Consider the following 19,596-nt stretch of genomic DNA (forward strand, 5'->3'; position numbering starts at 1 on the left):
GCTGGAGATGTGAGGAAAAGGCAATTGGATGGCCATGTGAGAGAGGGATATTGATGGAAGAATCAATAGAATCAGATGACTGACTGGATGTGGTTGGTAGAAGTGGGAGGAAGCTAGACGGGCATTGGTTTTTTTCCAGGTCATAAGAGGCATGTGCATGCCTGTCCCACATTAGCCCCTGATCATTAAACATGATCTGTGGATATGCTTATTCATTCAATCTTCAGATGTCCTGTATACCAGGCCCTGTCCTTGGCACAGAAAACACAATTAAATCTCATGTGTAGCCCATGTGCACTCACTCACAGAACAGCTCCCGACTACCTGTCAGTCAAAGCTTTTCACACTTTTTCTTAAATCCCTTCAATAGATCCCCATTACACTTAGAATACACCCAAATGCCTCAGTCTGTCCTCCAACGTCTTCTATGATTTGGCTACTGCTCAGATCTCTGACCTCATCTCCTCACCCACTAGCACTCTCCGCATTGCTTGTAACTTCAGCCACACTGGCCTCATTCTTCTCCTTGAAAATGCTAATCACAGCCTCACCTCAGGACTTCGTACACTCATTATTCCTCCCTGCTTGGAAGTCCTTTCCCCACCTCCAACTCCACCCGACCCTAATTCTCAGAAGCCTCAAACTTTTTCTCTTCAGAGTTGCTTTCTCTGACAACAGTACCTAGTATTCCCTTACCCTGGCGATACTATCACATGCTTTATTTCATATTTTTTCATAGCATTTATTGCTACTGTTGTGCCATTTGTTTTTTGTCTTCTTGTATCAGAATGTAATCTTCAAAAGGGCTGGGACAGGCCAGGTGCGGTGGCTCATGCCTGTAAGCCCAGCACTTTGAGAGGCCAAGGTGGGTGGATCACTTGAGGTCAGGAGTTCGAGACCAGCCTGGCCAACATGGTGAAACCCTATCTCCACTAAAAATAGAAAAATTGACTGGGCATGGTGGTGGGCCCCTATAGTCCCAGCTACTTGGGAGGCTGAGGCAGGAGAATCACTTGAACCTGGAAGGTGAAGGCTGCACTAAGCCAAGATCATGCCACTGCACTCTAGCTTGGTCGACAGAACAAGACTCTGTCTCAGAAAAAAGAAGAGTGAGGGGGATGCTGAGACCTTTTCTTTCCTTTTTCTTTTTTTCTTTTTTTTTGAGACAGAGTCTTGCTTTGTCACCCAGGCTGGAGTACAGTGGCGTGATCTCCTGCCTTAGCCTCCCATGTAGCTGGGATTACAGGCACCTGCCACCACGCCTGGCTAATTTTTGTATTTTTAGTAGAGACGGGATTCCACCATGTTGGCCAGGCTGGTCTCAAACCCCTGACCTCAAGTGATCCACCCACCTTGGCCTCCCAAAGTTCCGGGATTACAGGCGTGAGCCACTGCGGCGCAGCTGGGCTGAGACCTTTTCAAACATGTTCTTGTTTGTATCTTAGAGCCTAGAGGTGTTGTTTGTATGAAGTGCAAACTGAAATATTTCCAGAATGAGTGAGGGCAGAAGGGATGAGTGACAGTCTTGCATATTCTAAGAAAAGGGAAGATGCATTAACCTGACATAGTAGGGTGCTCTGGAGAGGGTGAGAGAGACCAGGGAGGGCTCCCAGGAAAAGGTGACAGCTAAGTTGATGCCGAAAGGGTCAGGGGGAAATTTTCAAGTCCAGAAAGAAAAGAGCCTGGTTTGGAGATGGGATTCACAGCATGCGATAAGGTCCTAGAAAGGAGCTAGGACAGGCCAGCCATGGTGGCTCACGCCTGTAATCCCAGCACATTGGGAGGCCGAGGCAGGCAGGTCACCTGAGGTTAGGAGTTCGAGACCAGACTAGCCAACATGGTGAAACCCCGTCTCTATTAAAAACACAAAAATTAGCCAGGCCTGGTGGCAGGCGCCTGTAATCCCAGCTACTCAGGAGGCTGAGGCAGGAGAATCGCTTGAACCCGGGAGGCGGAGGTTGCAGTGAGCCGAGATCGCACCATTGCACTCCAGCTTGGGCAACAAGAGCGAAACTCCATCTCAAAAAAAAAAAAAAAGGAAAGAAAAAAAGAAGGCAGCTAAGACAGAGGTCGACGCCAGTGCACCTGTCCATGGTCCTGAAACCCAGTTGCTCTCAAGTCAGGATGGTTCTATTCAGCTTGGAATGTAGGTGACTCTTGCCTACTGTGCTTTAAGAATTACAAAGCAGATGTAGTTGAGGGGGTGGGAGGAGAGTAAGAGAGTTGGATTGCAGAGATAGAAAGGAGGAAGGGAGGGGAGAAAAAGAGAAAGGGAAAATAAGGTTATTTTTGGAGAACCAGGGCTAATGCAAAATGGCCAGAAAGAAAAAGCAACGATAAGAATGACTTACTACAAAGAAAAAAGAAAACAAAATCTCTTCCTCGGTGGAAATATTTCTTTCTTTCTCATCAGACCCTGGTCCTGATTCTGCTTATGGAGATTGGTATTTATTTATTTATTTATTTACTTATTGAGGCAGTGTCTTGCTCTGTTGCCCAGGCTGGAGTGCAATGGTGCAATGTCGGCTCACTGCTACCTTTACCTCTTCGGTTCAAGCAATTCTCATGCCTCAGCCTCCTGAGTAGCTGGGATTACAAACGTGCACCACCATGCCTGGCTAATTTTTTTTTGTATTTTTGTAGAGACGGGGTTTCACCATGTTGGCCAGGCTGGTCTCGAACTCCTGACCTCAAGTGATCTGCCCACCTCAGCCTCCCAAAGTGCTGAGATTACAGGCATGAGCCACCGCACCTGGCAGAATGTTTGTTATTTAGAGCTGTAATGTGAAACTTGGACCTTAAGTCTGGGGTTGGAGTGAACTATGAGGCAGGTGTTGTCAGCAGGAACCAGATCACAGACAGCCTGGAACGACAGGCTGACTTGTTTCTCCTGTGGACAATGAGGAGCCAAGGAAGAGTTCTGAGCCTGGAGGGATAGAGTCTGCTTTGGGTTTCAGAAACGGAGATGAGGATTTTGGAACAATGGTACAAACATACAGAATAAGGCCTGAAGGCCGGGCACGGTAGCTCACGCCTGTAATCCCAGCACTTTGGGAGGCTGAGGTTGGCGGATCACGAAGTCAGGGGTTCGAGACCAGCCTGGCCAACATGGTGAAACCCCATCTCTACTAAAAATACAAAAATTAGCCGGGCATGGTGGCGCACGTCTGTAATCTCAGCTACTCAGGAGGCTGAGGCAGGAGAATCACTTGAACCCGGGAGGCAGAGGTTGCAGTGAGCTGAGATGGCGCCATTACACCACTCCAACCTGGGTGACACAGTGAGACTCCACCTCAAAAAAAAAACAAAAAAAAAAAAAAAAGAGAGAATAAGGCCTGAGCTGGGGCAAGGGACTTGGGGAAGCAAAAAGGGGGTTAGATTTATGAGGAATTCAGGAAGTAAAGCAGACATAATTTGATTGTCCTTCAGTGACCATCCCTGATGGATGAGAGAGAGAGAGGGAGAGAGAGAGAGGAAAAGAGGAGTGAAGCTGATTCCCCTGCATCTGAGTTAGGCACTGCAGTGAATGTGATTTTTGGGCTTCCTTCAATCTTCCTTTGCTATAAACCTGCTCATATTTCAAGACCAATCTCAGGTGCATTTTCACCATGTAATGCTTCATGATCATTCTCTTTATTTTTGTATTTTTTAATTTTTTGAGATGGAGTCTCGCTCTGTCGCCCAGGCTGGAGTGCAGCAGCATAATCTCAGCTCACCGCAACCTCCACCTCCCAGGTTCAAGCGATTCTCCTGTCTCAGCCTCCCGAGTAGCTGGGATTACAGGCGCCCGCCACCATGCCTGGCTAATTTTTGTATTTTTAGTAGACAGAGGGTTTCACCATGTTGGCCAGGCTGGTCTCAAGTGATCTGCCCTCCTTGGCCTCCCAAAGTGCTGGGATTCCAGGCCTGAACCACCACGCCCAGCCTATAATCACTCCCTTACTGCGTCTCAACATTATGGAATACTAGAAGTTGAAAGTGTTATGGAAGTTCAGAGCAAGGGAAAAGTTAATTCTTGGAAGGGATAGAGGAATGGTGGGATTTAGAGTGAATGGGCTTTTCTAGATGTTCCAGCTGCATAGCAAGTATGTTCTTCATCCATTCAAAGAGAATTGACTACTTGATGGAGAATAATAAAAAACAAGGTGGACTTGTTTCTAGCATCATGGAGTTCCTAGCATCTAACTGGGGATGGAGGAGATGTCTAATAAAAAAGTAACAAATAGATAATATAATGTTAGATGGTGCTACATGCTACAAAAAAAAAAAAAAAAAAAGCAGGTTAGGAGGAGAGTGATGGGGAGGGGTTATTATATTATCCCACCCACCTGAATAATCCAAGGTTTTTAAATGTTTTTCTCTCTATCTCTCTATCTTTCCCTCCTACCTCACCATTTTTTTTTTTTTCTTGAGACAGAGTCTCACTCTGTCACCCAGGCTGGAGTGCAATGGTGCCATCTCTGCTCACTGCAACCTCTGCCCCCTGGGTTCAAGCAATTCTTCTGCCTCAGCCTCCCGAATAGCTAGGACTACAGGCGGGCACCACTACGCCAGGCTAATTTTTTTTTAAATTTGAGACGGAGTCTCACTCTTTTGCCCAGGCTGGAGTGCAGTGGCTCAATCTCAACTCATTGCAACCTCCACCTCCCAGGTACACAAGATTCTCCTGCCTCAGCCTCCCGAGTAGCTGGGATTGCAGGTGCCTGCCACCACGCTCTGCTAATTTTTCTGTATTTTTAGTAGAGACGGGGTTTCACTGTGTTAGCCAGGATGGTCTTGAACTCCTGACCTCATGATCTGCCCACCTAGGCCTCCCAAAGTGCTGGGATTACAGGCCTGAGCCACCGCACTGGGCCAATTTTTGTATTTTTAGTAGAGATGGTGTTTCACCATGTTGGCCAGGCTGGTCTTGAACTCCTGACCTCAGGTGATCTGCCCTCAGCCTCCCAAAGTGTTGGGATTATAGGTGTGAGCCACTGTGCCCGGCCCCACCTCACTTTTTAAACACACCACACACAGATTTTTTTTGGCTTTAGCATTTGAAAGTAAATTGCATACATGTTGATAGTTCATCTCTAAAATTAAGTGTTAGTATGCATCCTTTAAGGCTAAGGGTCGGGTGCTGTGGCCTCACTTTGGGAGGCCGAGGTGGGCACATTACTTGAGCTCAGGAGTTCAAAACCAGCCTGGGCAACATGGTAAAATCCCGTCTCTCCAAAAATTACCAAAAGTCAGCCAGGCATGGGGCATGCACCTGCAGTCCCAGCTACTCAGGAGGGTGAGCTGGGAGGATGGCTTGAGCCCAGGAGGCAGAGGTCGCCATAAGCTGAGATCGTGCCACTACACTTCAGCCTGGGCAACAGAGCCAGATCTTGTCTCTAAATAAATAAATAAATAGAAGAATAATACATTCGTCTACGTAACTACAACAACATTATCAGACATGGACGTTTTATAATTCCATAATACAATTTAATACATTTTTAAACTGTCCTGGCTATTTCAAGAATGTCTTTTATAACTCTTTCCCTAGAACCAGGATTCATTCTAGGTCCATGCATGACATTTAGTTAATAAGTCTCTTTTTTGGCTGGGCGCAGTGGCTCATGCCTATAATCCCAGCACTTTGGGAGGCCGAGCTGGGCAGACCATTTGAGGTCAGGTGTTTGAGACCAGCCTGACCAACATGGTGAAACCCCATCTCTATTAAAATACAAAAAAGTTAGCCAGGTGTGGTGGTGCATGCCTGTAGTCCCAGCTACTCAGGAAGCTGAGGCAGGAGAATCGCTTGAACTCAGGAGGTGGAGGTTGCAGTGAGCTGAGATCACACCACTGCATCCAGCCTAGGTGACAGAGTAAGACTCTGTCTAAAAAAAAAAAAAAAAAAAAAAAGAAAGGAAAAAAAGCCTAATTCCACTACTATTTGTTTTTAACAACGCTGACTTTTTTTTTTTTTTTTTTTTGAGATGGAGTCTGGCTCTGTCGCCCAGGTTGGAGTGCAGTGGCACGATCTCGGCTCACTGCAAGCTCCGCCTCCCAGGTTTGCGCCATTTTCCTGCCTCAGCCTCCCGAGTAGCTGGGACTACAGGCGGCCACCACCACGCCCGGCTAATTTTTTCTATTTTTAGTAGAGATGGAGTTTCACCATGTTAGCCAGGATGGTCTCGATCTCCTGACCTCGTGATCCGCCTGCCTCAGCCTTCCAAAGTGCTGGGATTACAGGCGTGAGCCACTGTGCCCGGCCAGCACTGACTTTTTAAATATATCTCATTATTAAAATATAAAAAGAAGCCAAGCACAGTGACTCGAGCCTGTAGTATTAGCTACTCTGGAGGCTGAGGTGGAAGAATCGCTTTGAACCCAGGAGATGGAGGCTGCAGTGAGCTATGATGGTACCACTGCACTCCAGCCTGGGCAACAGAGTAAGGCCCTGTCTAAAAAAAAAAAAAAAAAAAAGAATTAAAAAATAAAATAAAATATAGAAAGAATAGTATAATGAAATTCATGGATCCTGCACTCAGTTTCAACAATTACCAACATATGGCAAATCTGTTTTTAGTCATATTGCCATGTCCTCTTCTGCATTTCACTACATTATTTTAAAGCCAGTCTCAGACATCATTTGATTCACAGATATTTCAGTATATCTCTGAGTTATAAGTAGTCTTTTATTTACTATAACCACAATCCCATGATCAAGCCCAAGCAACTAAGAATAATTACTTAATATTATCTCATATCTAGTTAATGCTCACTCTTCCCCATTGGCCTCATAAATGCCTCTTTCTAGTTCATTTGTTGCAAATCCAGATCCAAGTTCCACATGTACATTGAGTTGATAGATCTCTGAAGCCTCTTTCAACCTAAAACGGTCCCTCTCCTATTTTTTTCTGGCCATTTATTTTTTTGAGAAATTTGCATTTTTGTTATGTGGAATTCCCACATTGCAGTTTTCCAATGGAATCTTCTGTTGTCGTTTAATATGTTCATCTATTTCAGTGTTTTCTTTTCTCTCTCCTTTTTTTTTTTTTTTTTGAGACTGAGTTCCGCTCTTGTCGTCCAGGCACTGCAACCTCCGCCTCCCAGGTTAAAGCGATTCTCTGGCCTCAGCCTCCCGAGTAACTGGGATTACAGGCATCTGCCATCACGCCCGGCTAATTTTGTATTTTAATAGAGATGGGGTTTCGCCATGTTGGCCAGGCTGGTCTCAAACTCCTGACCTCAGGTGATCCGCCCGCATTGGCCTCCCAAAGTGCTGGGATTACAGCACTTTGTGCGTGAGCCACTGAGCCCAGCCTTTTCTTTTTTTGAGACAGAGTCTCACTCTGTCACCCAGGCTGGAGTGCAGTGGTGCAATCTCGGCTCACTGCAACCTCCACCTCCTGGGTTCTGCAACCTCCACCTCCTGGGTTCAAGTGATTCTCCAGCCTCAGCCTCCTGAGTAGCTGGGATTACAGGTGCCCGCCACCACGCCTGGCCAATTTTTTTTTTTTTTTTTTTTTGAGATGGACTCTCGCTCTGTCACCAGGCTGGAGTGCAGTGGTGCGGTCTCGGCTCGCTGCAACCTCTGCCTCCCAGGTTCATGCAATTCTCCTGCCTCAGCCTCCTGAGTAGCTGGGACTATAGGCGCCCAACACCACACCTGGCTAATTTTTGTATTTTTAGTAGAGAGGGGGTTTCACCATGTTTTGGACAGGCTGGTCTCAAACTCCTGACCTCAGGTGATCCACCCGCCTCAGCCTCCCAGAGTGCTGAGATTACAGGTGTGAGCCACCACACTCAGCCTATTCCTGTGTTTTCTTGTAAGCCAAGATCTAAAAGAAGCTTAGATGGATGCAGGTTTGATTTTTTTTTTTTTTTGGCAAGAACACTTTATACATAGGTGGTGCTATTCACATCCTGCTGTGTCTATTACATCAAGAGACACAGATTGTCTGATTGTCTCTCTTTTTGAGATATTAGAGTTGATCACTGGTTTGAGTGTCATTAGCTTGCTCCATGTCATCGTTTTTCTGAAGACTGAGGGACAGGGTATCCTGGTGAATGTCCTGCATCTTGGGTTTATTGTTTAATTTTTATTTATTTATTTATTTATTTTTGATACAGAGTCTCGCTTTGTCACCCAGGCTGGAGTGCAATGGCGCAATCTCAGCTCATTGCAACCTCCATCTCCCGGGTTCAAACAATTCTCGTGCCTCAGCCTCCCAAGTAGCTGGGATTACAGGCCTGCACCACCACGCCCGGCTAATTTTGTATTTTTAGTAGAGACAGGGTTTCTCCATGTTAGTCAGGCTGGTCTCAAACTCCTGACCTCAGGTGATACACCCACCTCAGCCTCCCAAAGTGCTGGGATGACAGGCGTGAGCCACTGCTCCCAGCTGCATCTTGAATTTATTTGTTTCTTCATGGTAACACTTCATTTGTTCCTCTTTCCTTGTATTTTCTGTAACCTGGAAGTTCTGTCTAGACTAGAGGCTTGATAACATTCACGTTAAACATCATTGGCAAGAAAAGTCAGAGGTGCCGCTGCATACTTTGTATCACGTTACTCCAGGGAGCAAATAATGTCAGGTTGTCCCACAGTGAGTGGTACCAGCTTGAACCCTTGGTAAAGATGGTGTCCATCAGAGCTCCCCATGGAAAAGGTAGGTTTTTCTTTTTACAATGAAAAAGCAAGGCCAGGCACAGTGGCTCATGCCTGTAATCCTAGCAGTTTGGGATTCCGAGGCGAGAGGATTGCTTGAGCCTAAGAGTTTGAGACCAGCGTGGTCAACATTGAGACCCTGTCTCTTAAAAAAAAAAAAAAATTAGCCAGGTGTGGTGGCGCATGCCTGTTGTCCCAGCTACTCCAGAGGCTGAGACAGGAGGATCACTTGAGCCCAGGAGTTTGAGGCTGCAGTGAGCCATGATCATGCCATTGCACTCCAGCCCGGGCCATAGAGCGAGACCCCATCTCAATAGATAAATAAGTAAATGAAATACTAGTGTGCAGGTAATACTTTAGCATTTTGAAAAAAAAAAATCTTGGTTTGGGATACTCGTATTTTACATTTTTTATTTTGGAGAAAATTTAAGACTACAGGACGCTTGTAAAAATAATACAATGAACTCTCATATCCTTCACCTAGCCCAGTTTTTCAACATTTTACAACATTTGCCTTTCTGTCTCTCTCTCTCTCCATATATATATATAGATCTATATACACATATATGTATACACATATTACATATACATATATACCTATGTATACACACGTTATATATACATATATACACACAAATATATGCATATGTGTGCACAAAAAATATATATGTACACACATTGGTGCAACCACTTGAATATAAGTTGCAAACACTTCACTAGTTCAGCAAGTATTTCCTAAGAACAAGGGCATTCTTTTACCTAACCACAGTACAATAATCAAATTCAGGAAGTTTAAGGTCTATAAAATACTATAGCTAATATCTAGTCCTACATTTAAATTTCACCAATGTCCCAATACTGTCTTTTTTTTTTTTTTTAATTGAGACAGTCTTGCTTTGTCACCCAGGCTGGAGTGCAGTGGCTCAATCTTGGTTCACTGCAACCTCTGCCTTCTGGGTTACAGGGATTCTTGTGCCTCAGCCTCCCAAATAGCTGGAACTACAGGCTAATGCCACCACGCCTGGCTAATTTTTGTGTTTTTAGTAGAGACAAGGTTTCACCATGTGGGTCAGGCTGGTCTCAAACTCCTAAGCTCAAGTGATCCACTCACCTCAGCCTCCCAAACTACTGGGATTATAGGCGTGAGCCACCGCCCCCACCCTCCAATACTGTCTTTTTTTTTTTTTTTTTTTTTTTGAGTTGGAGTTTTGCTCTTGTACCCAGGCTGGAGTGCAATGGCGCGATCTCGGCTCACTGCAACCTTCTGCCTCCTGGGTTCAAGCGATTCTCCTGCCTCAGCCTCCCAAGTAGCTGGGATTACAGGCACCCACCACCATGCCCAGCTAATTTTTGTATTTTTAGTAGAGACAGGATTTCTCCATGTTGGCCAGGCTGATCTCGAACTCCTGACCTCAAGTGATCCACCTGCCTTGGCCTCCCAAAGTGCTGGGATTATAGGCGTGAACCACCACGCCTGGCCTAATGCTATCTTTTTACTGTTACTTTTTCCTGATTCAGAATCCAATCTAAGATCACGCTTTGCATTTCCCTATTGTGTCTCTTTAGTCTCCTTTCATTTTTTTTTTTTTTTAATACGTGGAGGATGCCATGTGAACCTTTCATTTTTTATGGAGCTCTGCTGCCTTTTTTTTTCTTTTTCAATCTTTCATGTTGACGTTTTTGAAGAGTGCAGCCAGTTGGGCTGTAGAGTGTCCCACTGTCCTCATGAGTGGATTCAGGTTACGCATTCTCAGCAGGAACACGACATAAAGGAGGGAGTGGTTTGCTCAGCTCTCTTCTCTGGAGGCCCGTGGTGTAGGTCTGCCCTGTTGCTGGTGATGTTAACTGCGATCACTTGGTTAAGGCAGTATCTGCCAGGTTCTTTCACCATAAAGGAAGCTTTTTATCTCTGTAATAATTAATAGATCTTCTGTGGGGAGATTCTGTCATCCAGCAATCGAGCATCCCCTCGTGACTCTTGCCTGAATCTAACATTACTACTAGGATTGCAGAATGGTGTTTTCTTCTAACTCTATTATTCCACCTACATGGATAAATTGGTGTGCTACTGAAAAGAACTTTCTCTTTTTTCTTATTTTAAATATGTATCAGTGTGGACTCATGTATTTTATTCTATTTTGTTTTTAATTTAGTTTTTGTTTTTTTGAGACGGAGTCTCACTCTGTCGCCCAGGCTGGATTGCAGTGGTGGGATCTCGGCTCACTGCAACCTCTGCCTCCTGGGTTCAAGCAATTCTTGTGCTTCAGCCTCCCAGGTAGCTGGGATTACAGGCACCCACCACCATGCCTGGCTAATTTTTGTATTTTTAGTAGAGATCAGGTTTCACCATGTTGGCCAGGCTGGTCTCAAACTCCTGACCTTAAGTGATCTGCCCACCTTGGCCTCCCAAAATGCAGAGATTATAGGCATGAGCCACCGTGCCCAGCCTAACTTAATTGAGTTTTTTGAGACAGTCTCCCTCTGTCACCCAGGCGGGAGTGCAGTGGTGCAGTCATAGCTCACTGCAGCCTTGAACTCCTAGGCTCGAGGGATCCTCCCTCCTGAGCCTCCCAAGTAGCTAAGACAACAGGAACTAATTATTTATTTTTAGTAGAGATGGGGTCTCACTATGTTGTCCAGGCTGGTCTTGAGCTGCTGACCTCAAGTGATCTGCCCACCTCGGCCTCCCGAGGTGCGGAGATTCCACTCATGAGCCACGGTGCCCAGCCTCCATTATTTTTCAACGGCAAGTCATGCTGCGATAAATCAGCCTGTGCATGTGTGGTTTCCCATCACGGGAGAGATATCCTCAGGATAAATTCCTGGAAGTGGGATTGCTGGGTTAAAGGACAGATCCGTGTGTGATTTTGTTAGATGCTACTAAATCCCCTTTCACGTGGCGGCACCGTTTTGCATTCCCACCAGCAATGTAGAAGAACGTCCATTCTCTCAGCCTCCCCAAAAGAGTGTGCTGTGAAGCTTTTAAACTTCTGACTACCCGGTTGATGAGAAGTGGTAGCTCATCATATTTTTCATTTGCATTTCTCAAATTTTGAGTGAGGGAAATCTACTTTTTTCAACAGGGAGATCATAAAAGTCTCCTCCCCCCTTCCCTTCCCTCCCCTCCCCTCCCCTCCCCTCCCCTCCTTCTCGGAGTTTTGCTCTTGTTGCCCAGGCTGGAGTGCAGTGGCACGATCTTGACTCATTGCAACCTCTGCTTCCTGGGTTCAAGTAATCCTCCTGCCTCAGCATCCCGAGTAGCTGGGGTTACGAGTGTGTGCCATCGCACCCAGCTAATTTTTGTATTTTTAGTAGAGACGAGGTTTCACCACGGTGGCCAGGCTGGTCTGAAACCCCTGGTCTCAAGTGATCCTTTCACCTGGGCCTCCCAAAGTGCTGGGATTACAGGCTTAAGCCACTGCGCCTGGCCCATAGAAGGTCTTTCTAAAGAGGCAACAAGTGAGGAGAGATCTAAGTGACAGAAATAGACATGGGGAAATCTGGGGGAAGAGCATTCCAGGTAGAAGGAATGGCAAGACCAAAGGCCCTGAGGCAGAAGTGAGCTTGAGGAGTTCAAGGAAGAGCAAGAAAGTTAGGTGTTCTAGGCCGAGTGTGGTGGCTCACGCTTGTAATCCCAGCACTTTGGGAGGCCAAGGTGGAAGAACTGCTTGAGCTCAGGAGTTCGAGACCAGCCTGGGCAACATGGGGAGACCCTGTCTCTACAAAAAAATGCAAAAGTTAGCCCCGCATGGTGGTGCATGCCTGTTGTCCCAGCTACTCATGAGTCTGAGGTGTGAGGATTGCTTGAGCCAGGGAGGTGGAGGCTGCAGTGAGCTATGATTGCACCAATGCACTCCTGCCTGGACAACAGAGCAAGACCCTGTCCCAAAAAGAAAAAAAGTAAAGAAAGTTAGGTGGTCTAAGAAAAAGAAACAAGGAGAAACTGATCAGAGATGGTGTGGGCAGGTACCGGACCATTTATATACTGCAGTCTAAGAGGTCAGCGAAGTTTTCTGTAAAGAGCCAAATAATAAATACCTTCAGCTTTATTGGCCACCCAGTCTCTCTTGTAACTGCTCAGCCTTGTGGTTGTAGCAAAAAACCAGTCACAGGCAATATGTAAACAAATGGGTGTGGCTGTGTTCCACTATCATTTGTAGAAACCAAAATTTAAAATTAATGTACTTTAAAAAGTTGAGATATAAAGCCAGGCACAGTGGCTCACGCCTGTAATCCCAGCACTCTGGGAGATGAGGTGTGCAGATCACTTGAGATCAGGAGTTCGAGACCAGCCTGGGCAACATGGCAAAACCCTGTCTCTGCAAAAAATACAAAAAATTAGCCGGGCGTGGTGGTGTGCACCTGTAGTCCCAGCTACTAGGGAGGCTGAGGTGGGAGGATCACTTGAGCCTGGGAAGTGAAGGCTGCAGTGAGCCATGATTGTCCCAGTGCTCTCCAGCCTGGGTGACAGAGCAAGACCCTGTCTTCAAAACAAAACAAAACAAAACAAAAAAGGCCGGGTGTGGTGGCTCACACCTGTAATCCCAGCACTTTGGGAGGCCAAGGTGGGCAGATCACTTAAGGTCAGGAGTTTGAGACCAGCCTGGTCAACATTGTGAAGCCCTGTCTCTACTAAAAATACAAAAATTAGCCAGGCATGGTGGCGGGTGCCTGTTAATTCCAGCTACGCAGGAGGCTGAGGCAGGAGAATCGCTTGAGTCCAGGAGGCAGAGGTTGCGGTGAGCCGAGATTGCACCACTACACTCCAGCCTAGGTGACAGAGCAAGAATCTGTCTCAAAAAATTCCAAAAAACAAAAAACAAAATTGAGATGTAATTCACATACTATAAATTTCATATAATTCAGTGATGTTTCAGTACATCCACAAGGTTGTGCAACCATCTCCATTAGCTAATTTCACAACATTTTCATTATTCTCAAAAGAAACCTCACACACCTTAGCAGCCAGACACAATTTCCCCCTCCATCCTATTCCCTGGCAACCACTAATCTACTTTCTGTCTCTGTGGATTTGCCTATTCTGGACATTGCATATAAATGGAATCACACAATATGTGATATTTTGCATCTGGCTTCTTTTAGCTTGCTTTCTAGGTTCATCCCTATGGTAGCATGAATCAGTATATCGTTCCCTTTTTTGGCTGAATAGTATTCCTGTATATGGATATACCACATTTTGTTTATCCATTCATCAGCTGATGGGCATTTGGGCTGTTTCCGCTTTTTGGCTATTACGCATAACGCTGTTACAAACATCCGTGTATGCGTTTTTGTATGAACATATGTTTCCACTTCTCTTGGGGACATACCTAGGAGTGGAATTGCTGGGTCATATGATAATTCTATCTTTAACTTTTTGAGGCGCTGCCAAATGAAATTCATATACTTTTTATGTGCCACAAAATACCAGTCTTGTTTTGATTTTTAACATCATTTACTTATGTGAAAGCCATTCTTAGCTGGTGGGCCATACACAATGAGGGGGTGAGCTGGGTTTCGTCCATGGACCATGGTTTGCCGACCACCGGTGTAGACAGTGGAAGGAATTTGGGCTTATTCTGTGTGTGGCACACAGAATGTAGGATTCTAGGGGAAGAGGTTGATAGGGATTAGTTAGATACATTTAAGGCAGGGAACTTTATAGCCTCCTTAAGCCACTCTTGGCATGGTTACTGTTTAGAGGAAATTTCATCTGGAGAAAATGATAATCGCCTCTTAGAAATTCTCAGATTGGACCTCTCCTCTGCACACTGTCCGTATGCTCTATTTCCTCAATTGTAAATGGTGTTAAAAATGTACCTCCTTCAAAGAGGTGTTGTGAAGTTTGAATGAATGTATATATATACACAACACCAAGAACAGTGCCTGGCACAGACCAAGACCTATATAAGTCGTTGCTATTATTATTGCTATTGTTGCAATTATTATCCACACAGCCTCAGCTCAGGCCTCATCCTCTTCGCCCTGGAATATGTCTCCCTCCAGTCTGTTCCCAGCATCAACCAGCCCCCAAAGTTTCTTCTAACACTGGGATCTGGCCCTGTCCTTCCTCTGCTACAAACTTTGTGTAGCTCCCTAGCACCCTTGGCGTCAACACCCAGCTCCTGGGCCCGGCATTCGAGGCTCACCATGGCTATACCTTCCCCTTTCTCTAACCTCATTTCTTGTGGCTACAGCTTATGTTACAGCTACATGGGTGGACCAGCTCTATTTTCCCTCCTTCCGAAACCTTTGCCCATGCTGTGCACTCTGCCAGTGTGCCCTTATTCTTCTCTGGGCCTCATCCTTTAAGGCCGGGCGCGGTGGCTCAAACCTGTAATCTTAGCATTTGGGGAGGCCGAGGTGGGTGGATCACCTGAGGTCAGGAGTTTGAGACCAGCCTGGCCAACATGGTGAAACCCCGTCTCTACTAAAAATATAAAAAAAAAAATTAGTCGGGAGTGGTGGCGGGCGCCTGTAATCCCAGCTACTTGGGAGGCTGAGGCAGGAGAATCGCTTGAACCTGGGAGGTTGAAGGTTGCGGTGAGCCGAGATCGGGCCACTGCACTCCAGCCCAGGCCACAGAGTGAGACTCCATTTCAAAAAAAAAAAAAGAGAGAAAAGAAAAGAAGACTTGAACAAAGAAATCTTTCCTTCATTTCTCTTGCCCCTGCCCCAGGCAGGTTTGGCACTCCTTCCAGAGTCCCACACAGCGTGCTACTTCCTTGTAGCACCTATCACCTTATATGTGACTTAATCAGTGTGTTCCTATTTTCCTTCTCCAATTGTATTGTGAGCTCCTGGATGGCAGATTTAGGGGGATAAAGGGGGAGGTGGTTGTTGATTCATCTCTGGGCTCCCTGCACCCAACCAAGGCCCAGCATACAAGGGGCTTCAGGGAAGTTAGTCCAGGACAGAATGGGGAGGAGGGGAAGGCAGTGAGGTGGGGCTGGGGCTGGGAAAAGGGGCCCACTTCTAATGGACGAGGGCACCCCCTCTGCTCCCCTAGGCCTCTCCTTGGTGGTGGGCTTGGTTCTTTACATCTCCAGCATCAACGACGAGGTCATGAACAGGCCCAGCAGCTCTGAGCAGTATTTTCATTATCGCTACGGGTGGTCTTTTGCCTTCGCCGCTTCCTCCTTCCTACTCAAAGAGGTGACGTCCGTGGGACCTAGACTCTAGAGTTCTGAATGGAGAGAGGTCTTGGGGGCCTGGTTCCTGAGTCCAGGAGGAAGGAGAGGCTGGAGATGCAGACTCTGGCGTCAGAGGGAGGTGGTAGCTGAGGGTCTAACCCCTGGGTCCTGGAGGAAGAGGGGTCTGAGAGCTCCAACTTTTGGGATCCTGGGGGAGGAGGGGTCTGGAGACTGGGACTCCTGGGTCTTGAGGGAGGGGCCAACCTGAGGGCTTGGACTCCTGAGGTCCCGGGGAAAGAGAGGGCTGGAGCCCTGATCCTGGGTCCTGGGATAGGAAGGGGCTTGGGGTGGGGACTCTGAGTCCTGGAGTGAGAGGAGATGAGTCGGGGTCCGGGGATGCGCAGGGGGGCGCCCCTGGGACTCTGACCTTGCCTTGCCGCAGGGGGCCGGCGTGATGTCCGTGTACCTGTTCACCAAGCGCTACGCGGAGGAGGAGATGTACCGTCCACACCCGGCCTTCTACCGCCCGCGTCTCAGCGACTGCTCCGACTACTCGGGCCAGTTCCTGCAGCCCGAGGCGTGGCGCCGCGGCCGGAGCCCCTCCGACATCTCCAGCGACGTGTCCATCCAAATGACGCAGAACTACCCTCCCGCCATCAAGTACCCGGACCACCTGCACATCTCCACCTCGCCCTGCTGAGGCCCGCCCCTCGGAGCTCCCCCTGCCTCCTCCTCCTCCTCGTCTTAGGGGGGTCTCCCTGCAATGCAGCGCCCCCTTCCGTCCTCGGGACTCCTCGCTCCCACCCGGAGGAGGCTGCGCCAGCTTTAGGCCCCGCCCTCCTCCCAATGGCTCCGCCCACAGACTCCCTTATTTCAATGGCCGCGCCCTCTTTTCCCGACCTCTCCTTTTCATTGGTCCCTCTCACTCCCAAATGACTCCTCCCCTTCGTTGGCCCGCCCCTTTCCTCTGGCCCCTCCTCTCCAAGAAAATTAGCTCCTCCCTCGTTCTCCACCTGCTCTGAGCTGGGAGCAGCCAGAGGCGGTGCAAGCGCCCAGCTCCCCAGAGCTCCCCAACCTCGGACCTCACCGCAGGGGCGCTGGGCTGGAGAGCAGGTTCGGGCAGCCGTCGGGAATACCGACCATCCTCTTCTCCCTTCTAACCTGGGCTTCCTTTTTCCCTGCCTAATCTCACCTCCTGACCTGCTGGGTCCTCCGGTGCAGTGGGAGGGCCGGCTTGCTCCACCCGCAGCCCCGGGGTGGCGTAGGGAAGGGGGCTGGAAGCCACGGGTACGGTTAACCTGGCCCTTCCCTCCCCATCTCCCCTACTTCCCTGGAAGGTCCCATTCTTTCTCACCGGCTGGGCTCTTTTCTGCTTCCTGAAGGTTACCTGCCTTTTAGGGGGCTCTTGTCTAAAGGATCTTCTTGCTTTCTCAGCTATCCTTGGCTTCTTTTTCGTCTTCCTCCTCCTTTAACTCTTTCTCTCCTTTCCTCCCTTCACCCGTTCGTCCCAAGCCCTTGGGTGCATCCCGCCCTAGGCGCACACCAGACGGCCAGAATGGGGACCCTAGGGTGGAGGGAATTCCCCCACGCCATCTCCGCACCTGTGCCCGCCTCTCCCCCCTCGAGGCCCCGTCGAGGGAGGGAGGGGCAGTAGCGGGGGTCGACACCCCCCCCAAACCTCTAAGTCTTCCATTTTCTGGCTCTCCTCCTCATTGACGTCCCTCTTCCCCCCTCAGAACCCCAACTCTGGCCTCTTTCAAGGGCCCGTCCGCCCCGTTGGACAGATTTTGGGGGGAGAGGAGGTCACCAGGAACTCGCCCACCCCCCCTTATTAGGGAAAGAGGGGCGAGGTAGCACAGTGCTGTACACGGAACCAGAATGGCCCCCGGGGTGGGGGGAGGGGGGCAGGGGAGGGACGGGGGCTTTTAGTTTGCATCTTAGGTGGGAGGGGGGAGGGGGGACCCGCCGCAGTTAACCTGACTTTACGCAGCGATTTTTAACGAGGCTGGGGGGAGGGGGGCACTGGGGTGGGGACAGGGTGGGGTGGGGGGCCTGGCTCTGTTATTTACCGTGTATCATATGTAAATATCGACAGAAACTTCAATAAACTTTATTTCAAACACGTCTCCGCCTGCCCGGAGGGAAGGGATTGGATAGAGGGGGCTTAGTCTGGGTCTCTGCTTCTAGGGTTGCAGGCCTAAAGTACTGCAGAATGACGTTAGATGGGTCGTTGTTAAATGACTTAATCATCATCATTATCAACGGCAGCGCTTTATACTTCAGTCCGTGTAAAGCATGCAGGACCGTAAATGATACTGGTCAGGATCAATAAACGCTTTCTCCTGGTATTATTATGACCACGTAGAGTACTGTTACTATGACTCGGCTTCCTTCGACATTCATTGCTTCTTTTAACTTTTCCCCCAAGCCTGCACGGTCAATTTATTGGCCTCATTTTGCAGATAGGTCCAGAGAGGTGAAGTGACGTATCCAAGATCACACAGGTGGAAGTTGGCAGAGCCATTTGCTAAAGCCAAGTTTAGGCCTGGTGCGGTGACTCACGCTTGTAATCCCAGCACTTTGGGAGGTCAAGCTGGGGGGATCACTTGAGGTCAGGAGTTCGAGACCAGCCCAGCCAACATGGCGAAACCCTGTCTCTACTAAAAACACAAAAAAATTAGCTGGCCACGGTGGCTCACGCCTGTAATCCCAGCTATTCGGGAGGCTGAAGCAGAGAATCGCTTGAACTTGGGAGGCGGAGGCTGCAGTGAGCCGAGTGCACTGCACGCCAGCCTGGGCGACAGAGTGAGACTCCATCTCAAAATAATAATAAAACCAAGTTTATCTGGTTCTGAAGCTCAGGCTTCCTCCCCCTTGCACTAGGCAGTGGTGGGTTTTCCCAATGCTTGGCTCAGTCCCTCTGTTAAGAAATGACTGCTACCATTTACTGCACACCTACCCTGAGCCAGACGCCTTCCTTCCTTACATGATCTCATTAGACATTCACAGCAACCCTGTATGTAGGAATTATCACCCCATTTTTGCAGGTGAAGGAGGCAGGCTCGGAAAGTGGGTGCCACAATCTGCAGTCTCACCCACTATACTGAGAGACTGAGAACAGCCTAAATGTTTGATAAGCTTATTTTTGCAGCGTATTGTAAAGGAAACACCGTGCCAGATCTTCCCTTCTTTGCCTTGTCTAGATTTGGCCTCTTAAGGATCCATCAGAATAACTTTTGCTGTTACAGTCACAACTGTTAACAACCAAGACACATTTATCAGGTCATCATTAGGGTATCAGACACCGCACTAAGCACTTTTTTAAAAAAAAATAGAGACAGGGTATCCCTGTGTTGCCCAGGTTGGTCTTGAGCTCCTGGGCTCAAGGGATCCTCCTGCCTCGGCCTCCGAAAGTGCTAGAATTACAGGCATGAGCCACCCTACCCAGCCTGCACTAGGCACTTTTGATTTATTAGCTCATTGAATCCTTCCAACCATCCTGTGAATCAGGCATCCCAATTAGCCCCATTTTATAGATGAAGAAACCGAGGCTCAGGGAAGTGAGGCCACCCAGCTGGTAAGATGCGGAGGAGAATTCATGCCCAGCCTGTCTGACCTCAGAGCCCACACTCTTAGCTGCTATAATTTACTACTATGGATTTGGTGCAAACTCATTCTGTGACCTTGAGCAAATCTTTGAATCTCTGGGGCTTCAGTTTCTTTTTCTATAAAAAAATAAAAAAATACCGAGGGCACTGGTTGGTTTAGAAGGATTCCAAATCCCTCTGGAATAGGGAGGTTGGTGGGGGTAAGTTAGCA

At 48.0% G+C, this 19,596-nt stretch overlaps 1 protein-coding gene across 2 annotated transcripts in view, besides 1 other annotated feature; it reads left to right on the forward strand.

Annotated features, from left to right (window-relative positions):
- The window catches only part of CACNG7 (calcium voltage-gated channel auxiliary subunit gamma 7), a 34,673-nt gene extending 16,539 nt beyond the window's left edge, over positions 1–18,134 (forward strand). The window contains exons 5-6 of one of the 2 annotated variants that reach the window (NM_031896.5): positions 15,654–15,799; positions 16,220–18,134. In NM_031896.5, the coding sequence (NP_114102.2) occupies positions 15,654–15,799; positions 16,220–16,477 (404 nt within the window). In that variant the 3' untranslated portion in view covers positions 16,478–18,134. The remainder of the gene's footprint in view (positions 1–15,653; positions 15,800–16,219) is intronic. The other variant, NM_001384801.1, reaches the window with a different exon arrangement.
- Positions 2,006–2,206: a silencer, noted in NCBI's record as "peak3551 fragment used in MPRA reporter construct". NCBI's record gives its function as "represses an SCP1 promoter by STARR-seq MPRAs in K562 erythroleukemia cells {active_cell/tissue: K562}" and the evidence as "EXISTENCE:reporter gene assay evidence [ECO:0000049][PMID:32103011]".
- Positions 18,135–19,596: the final 1,462 nt, after the last annotated feature.

This window comes from Homo sapiens, chromosome 19 (genome assembly GCF_000001405.40).
Source record: "Homo sapiens chromosome 19, GRCh38.p14 Primary Assembly".
NCBI classification, from domain to species: Eukaryota; Metazoa; Chordata; class Mammalia; order Primates; family Hominidae; genus Homo; species Homo sapiens.